Source organism: Homo sapiens, chromosome 2 (genome assembly GCF_000001405.40).
Source record: "Homo sapiens chromosome 2, GRCh38.p14 Primary Assembly".
Taxonomy (NCBI): Eukaryota; Metazoa; Chordata; class Mammalia; order Primates; family Hominidae; genus Homo; species Homo sapiens.
The window spans coordinates 209,141,043-209,148,048 of record NC_000002.12 but is presented as its reverse complement, the minus strand read 5'-3'; the positions used below and the strand labels follow the sequence as shown (position 1 = coordinate 209,148,048).

Below are 7,006 nucleotides of genomic sequence, written 5' to 3'. Positions count from 1 at the left end.
TCCATTTAACCTCATTAATAAGGTTTAATCTCATCACAACCTTGTGAGAGGAAGAGTATTATTTCCCCCATTTTTACATATTAGGAAACTGAGGGACAGAGATGCTAAGTAACTTGCTCCACAACTATAACTAGTAAGTAGAGTTGGGCCCAGCATTCTGGCCCCAGAGGCTGTGCTCTTAACAGCTGCCTCACACCCCCTTTCCACTGATACATGCAAGAAAATCCACATGATTCCCAGCATGATTTTTGCTGAGCCCTTCCAAGGAGGCTGAAAGGAACAGAGGATACATTACTGCATAGAACGCACAGGAAATATTTTATTAGTTTCCAGATGGAGCAAAGGATAGAGTACAAATATTTCAGTAGAGCTCCACAGCTCTCCTTAGGGAGCCCACTCTAGCATCAGTAGCCCCCCAGTCGAGGTAATGCCTGTAGTCCCCCGGCCTCAGCAGGTACTGTCCCCCCAGTAGTTGGGCAGCTCATAGAGGACCCAGGAGCCCTCCAGTACATTGAAGGAGTGGATCTCACTGAGGTGGAAGCGGTCGTGAAGAGAGGAGCAGTCCTGAGTGATCTCCACCATCTGGCCCCTATAATCCTCTCGCTCATAGATCCTGAGCCTGTGGGAACTGGCCTGGGGGTTCAGCAAACAGCAGATGAGGGAAAATCAGAAAACCTGACCTCATTTCAGCAGGCACCCCTGGGGAATGGACTTTAAAAAAATCTTTGCTGTATCAAAGGTGACCAAACTAAAAGAAAGAGACTGCTAATACCAGGGGCGCTATGTATAGTTGGGCATGTTGTCCACTGTGAAATTCAAGAGGGCGTCATTCCCCATTCTTTTGGTATGAATGATGCTCCCTAGGGCTTTTGGTACAATCTACATGAACAGACACACTGGTTCTGCTCAGGACCACTTTCAGGTATTTTATGTATTTGTTTCATTTTCTCCTTTATAGATTGTGGTGGTTTGGGGCTCTCCCTGTAGGACATACAAAATAATCAGATTTTAAACAAAAAGATAAATGTGTCCCTGGCAACAGGTATTATTTTGAATCTCAATAACATCAGAAGCTAGAGGGAGAGGAGGTTGAATTTCTTTTACCCAAGCAAGGCACAGATTGGTGGCAATTCAGGAAGAGAGTCCAGCCTGGGCAATCCGTTCATCTGTGCCTTTCTGCTTTAAGCCCTGCTGCTCTAACATGCTAAAAAGCAAGAGTCATCACAAAGACTAGGTTTCAGTTCTCAGCTCCAACATGTGCTCCTGCAAATCAGTTTTAGGTAATAACCAAAAATGGAAGTTCAAGATCTTGAAAGAGGCCTGTACAGCATCAAAGAGTATAAAATCTTTAGAAAAATGGAAAGTTAGGCTGTTTCTCCTGAGCTATTCCTGCCTTTCTCTCTTGAGCTGTTCTTCCTTCATCTGCTTGTTTCTTTCCCTTGTCGCAATATGTTTCCTCTTCCACCACTAAAACCCTCTTTAGGAGAGATTCTCAAAAGCAGTTCCTCTTGTGGTATGCACAGCTGCTAATAAGGTATTTTACATTGGTCAGCATTCCGTGTTTGCAAAGGACTGACATATTGCTTCATTTGTTCTTCACAACACCCTGGAACATGTGGAGCAACGTTAAAGCCTTTTCCCCTTTTACTAGAAAACTAAAGACTGGATCTTACAGTCTGTAATTAGAAGAGTTGGAACTTGAAATTAGAAATCTAAGTTTTTGGGCTCCAATGCCAGACTGGGTCCTTATCAAGCTGTTAAACCCTGTGAGGGCATTTCAGACTTCACAAAAGTGGTTCATTTTCCGGGACTCTGTCACAGTCAACTTAGGGAATCCCTAACTGTGAAATTCCAGGCTGCTGGGGCTTCATTTAGGTAACAGTGGGCCCTGCAGGAGCTATTGGAATCTCATTGTTGGTTACTGGTTTGCCCAATCAGAAGGCAGGACTTGAGAGACCCTTGATGTTCATAATAGTTAATACTCGGGGGTGGGGATTGGCCTGTGCCAGGTGCCCTCCTTTCAACCTCATTGCAACCTTAGAAAGGAACTATTGTTATTAGTCCTAATTCATAGGCGAAGAGTACCGAGCATAGGTACTCTTCAAGAAATAGCCAAGTACCTAGTTTAGGACCACCTGAGAGCAAGGAATTCTGTTGCTCATTCATCACCTGTGGCATAGACGCTCTGAGCTAATGCCATGCACAACTTATTCCCAGTAGAGGTGAATTTGACTTTAGCAAAATAAAATGACCAGTTAAAAGCACTGCATCACATACTTTTTCAGTGGGAGGAAACCTTACGGATGTTAATAAAGGAAAAGAGAATATAGTTAGAGCCAGAAAAAAGAAGCCTGCCATCCCATCCCGTCGCCTGTCATGTGAATCATCCATGTGGATCACTGATGCGACTGGAGGGCACGGAAGGGCCCGGGTGGGACTGCACTCACGTGGGGGATGAGGCGGCAGGAGCGGACCGAGTCGCTGAGGCCCATCCACTGCTGGTGGTCGGCATAGTCGCAGCGGCGCAGGAACTACTGGAGGCCCGAGTAGTTGGGCTGCTCATAGAGCATCCAGCAGCCGCTGTCCACGCGCGCCGAGTTGCAGCGGCTCAAGTAGGGCTGCAGACCGGTGTGGTCACTGCTGCATTCGTAGTGGCGGCCCTGGAAGCCCCGGTCCTCGTAGAGGGTGATCTGCAAGGCAAGGCGAGGCAAGGCCAGGGCTCACAGGCCTGCCCCTGCCCTGGTCTCCGGCCCCACCATGCAGGAAGCTGCCGGGGCCCTGGGCGTGGGCTGGGCTCCCCTTCCCCATGGCTGGCTGGGGCTGAGCTGGTGGGGCGGCATTGTCGGGTGTTGTCATTGTTTGAAGATGAATTAAGGGATGATTGGTTTATTTTTAAAAATCATTGATGACTAATACAGTTATTCATGATGCTTTTTAAATTTCAACTTTACTTTTAATCTAATGTATATAGATTTGTGTGGAACGGATCCCTAAGTAAAACTTTCCATTAAGACTGAAAATAAATAGCATGTCTGTCTATATATGTATACATATAGACAGATATATATATATATATAAATATGTAATATATATTAGTTATGTATAATATATAATACATATATTAAGAAATCATGGAAAAGATTTTTTCTTTTTTTTGTATGAGCAAAAGAAGATAAATAGTATAAAATACATTAGGCACAAATCTTAGTAGGAATATTATTTTAAAATCTATATTTATCCTCTCCTCCCCAAAAGCTCTACTAAAGCACTTAAGCTTTTCCTCTAAGCTCTGGGGGTAGAGGGGTGGGACCCAAAAATAGTCATAGAAAATAATGCAAAGTAAGATGAGGAATTCAACTGCTGTCAAATAAAGAATGCATTGCTAAGTATGTTGGTGAAGAAAATGAAATACTTGAATCACCAGGGTCTCAAAAGTACTTTCTCCTAAAGGCTCGTAGCATGTTTACCCAAAGAGATTTGGAAAAACCTACTTCTTCCAGCTGCTTTATTATTTGAACCATTTGATCAATATTGAAACTATTCCCAAGACAAAATTCAAGTAATGAATTTCCTAATAAGTGGATTTCTTCCTGAAGTATGTTTTTAAGCCATTCTGAGGATAAAATATTTAAAGCCATTATCTTCCCCCTCTAAGTTATATGAACTCAGTAATTGAGTTTGTCTCAGTAAAAGGCAGTTGCAATTTCCTAACACTGATCATAGAAAAGTACCAAGGTTCTCAAAAGAGAACTAAAATTATAAAATTAAAAACATTGGTTTCTAAAAACACTGTAATAGAGTATTTGTAATATATTTAAAATATTTGGTCTGTGAGTTTTTAAATATAATGTATAATATGCATTTACGTATAACCTTATGATAATAATTCACAAAATTCTACTGGCATCCTTTTATACAAAGTGAAGATGTTCAGTTTAGAGATCTCAGAGATTTTAGAGGTCATCTTTATCATAAATTTCTATTTGTCACCAAAGAAAGAAAAACAGATATCAGATAGCAATTGCAAAAATAGACTGGCTTTATGTTTATTCTAATTTTAAAAACTGTAAATTAGGATACAAAAAAGTACGTCAGACTTGCTGTTGCATTCCCAAATTACCATTTAAAGGATAAAGCAACTGTTTGCTCAGATGTAAATTACCTTCACTATATTTGCTCCTTAGAGAAATTTCTTTCAAACGCCTATCTTAGGAAGTATTGAGATAATTAAACCACCTTTTCTTAGAAAGCAAGGATGTAACACAGCTGCTTTGAATAAAATAATTGAATATTTCTTTCCACAGTCTTACTCTAGTTAATATCTAATTTCTAAAATTCTTCTCAAACACTGTCTTCTTCTTATTGTTCTTTTTTAAAACAGCTTTATTGAAGTATTATTGACATATACAAAGAAATGTATATATTTAATGAGAATTTGATGAGTTTGGACATACACAAACACCCATAATACCATCACTACAATCAAGGTAACAGACATATCCAATACTTCCCAAAGTTTCCTCATGCCCCTCCTTTTTTATTTTGTTTTATTTTCATGTCAAGAACACTTAACACAGTATCTTTACTTTTTTTTTTCAATGCACAATACCATATTATTAACTACAGGCACTGTGTTGTACAGTGGATCCCAAAAACTTACTCATCTTGTGTAACTGAATCGTTATATTGATTGAACAACTCCTCACTTCCTTCACCTCCAAGCCCCTGGAAACTGCTATTGTATTCTGTTTCTGTGAGTTTGACTATTAAAGATACCTCATAAAAGTGGTTTCATGAAGTATTTGTTCAGAAACTGGCTTATTTCACTTAACATAATGTTCTCCAGCTTCATGCATGTTGTCACCAGTGGCAGGATTTTCTTTTCTTTCTTTCTTTTTTTTTTTTTTTGAGGCTGAATTATAGTCTGTTGTATGTATATATATATACCACATTTTCTTCATTCTTCATCTGTGGAATGACACAAATTGTTTCCATATCTTGGTTATTGTGAATAATGCTACAGTGAACCTGGGGGTGCATTTTCTTTTCAAGATCCTGATTTCAATTATTTGAGATAAATACCGTAAGAGAGATTGCTACATTATCTGGTAGTTCTATTTTTAATTTTGTGAGGAAACTCCATACTATTTTTCATATCTACTGCACCATTTCACATTCCCACCAACAGTGTATAATAATTCCAAATTTTCCACATCCTTACCAACACTTATCTTGTATTTTTTTGGTAACTACCGTCCCGTCCTAACAAATGTGAGATGATATCTCATTGTAGTTTTGATTTGCATTTCTCTGAGAATTAGTGATGTTTAACAAGTTTTCATTTACCTGTTGGTCATCTATATGCCTTCTGTAAAGAAGCATCTGTTCAAATCCTTTTCCCACTTTTCCCCTGTGTTATTTGAATGCCAGACATTGTGAATTTTACAGTTTGACGGGTGCAGGGTTTTTTTTTTTCTTCAGTCATTCTAAATAGTGACTTACTTAATTTTGTTGTACAGTTATGTTACATGATTCAGTTAGATCAGTTAGAACCTTTAAATGTTCTTTTATGCTTTTGGAATACTATACCCAATGCTGTGTGTGTTTGAGGCCTCTTTGCTCTGGCTGGTGGGAACAGGAATGATAGCGATAGCTAACCCTGTGTGAGCTCTGGGAATCTTGTTAGCCCCATCTTACAAAGTTCCTAAATAGAAATCTGAAGGATTAGTAGAAGTTGATGACAAAGAGAGTCACAGTAGGTCTAGATTATTAATGGGAACAGGGAGAGAACACAGCAAATGGAAGACATGCTCATGAGTGGATCACAATCACAGGCAAGATGCAATTGTGCTATTGCCATGTAAGCATCTCAGAGCACGAGTATGGTACCTAGCTGTCTCTCCCAGTTCTGACACTAACTAGCAGACAGTTTTGGAATAAACCTTCAGACCTGTTTCCTCTGGAGAATACATGTTGGACTCCTGCTAATTTATGAGCTTTACCTAAAGACTCTGCCTGAGTAACCTGGAGAAAGAAACTGCACAGAACCTATTGATGACTCATCTTATGGAGAGTCAGTAACAACTATCAGTTGATTTCCATTTTATAGATGATATTTGGCATTCTAGGTATTATTCAGATTACAGATTATTCTAGGTATTATTTCACAGGAAAGTACTGCCAACAATTCAGATGAAGGAAGAATGTTGAACAGCAGAGCTTCTGTACTCAGCCAAGTAGTAGATTTTCAAATATAAGATTAAATAAATTATTTTAAGCAAAAGGACAAAGACAAATTCCTCAGATTAGACTAAAAGGAATATTCATGGCTTACCTTCATATAAACTAGGGCATTGAAATTTAAAGAGATTATTTAAAATAAGAAGGAAATACAGATGAGGTCAAGTTCTCATCCTTGTCTTTCCTCCTTCACTTACACATCTAGGTTAATCCCTTCATGAGGAAATTTAAACCTTTTGTATGTAAGTTCATTCTGCCCTCTTTTAGCATCTCCTCCTTGCTTTTAGATCTGTCTGCTCAGATTTAATTTGAGGTGAGTTTCTAAATTATTATTCTAAGTTTAAGAGAACTAGAATTCTGAATCAACTGCTATTTCACCCAGAAGCCGCAGGTACAGTCAGTTTCCTGGAGGACTGTGATACCACAAGATGAATTGTTCATGTGTGACTACAGCAAAAGATCTGGAACGATTCTTAACAAATTAATAGTAAATTAGGAACAAGTTCAAACCTGAGGCATTCTGTTGCTTTGACTATTCCAGGGTGTTTCATTCGTTGAGTAATTACAAAGGCAGATTACTGAACCAATTCATAAAATGAAGACTAGCCTTCCAGAAACTATATTCTCTTCTCATGGAATTTTAAAATGAGGTTTCTTTCATTAATATTCTTCACCTCTTTTACCCCAAAAGATAATCAAGTAAAAAAACCTTACATAGTGTCAAAGGATATATTAGCCCAAAGAAAAGAAAATACATTAATGTCAA

At 38.8% G+C, this 7,006-nt stretch overlaps 1 pseudogene; it reads right to left on the bottom strand.

Annotated features, from left to right (window-relative positions):
• On the bottom strand, positions 302-2,838 carry CRYGFP (crystallin gamma F, pseudogene; annotated as a pseudogene).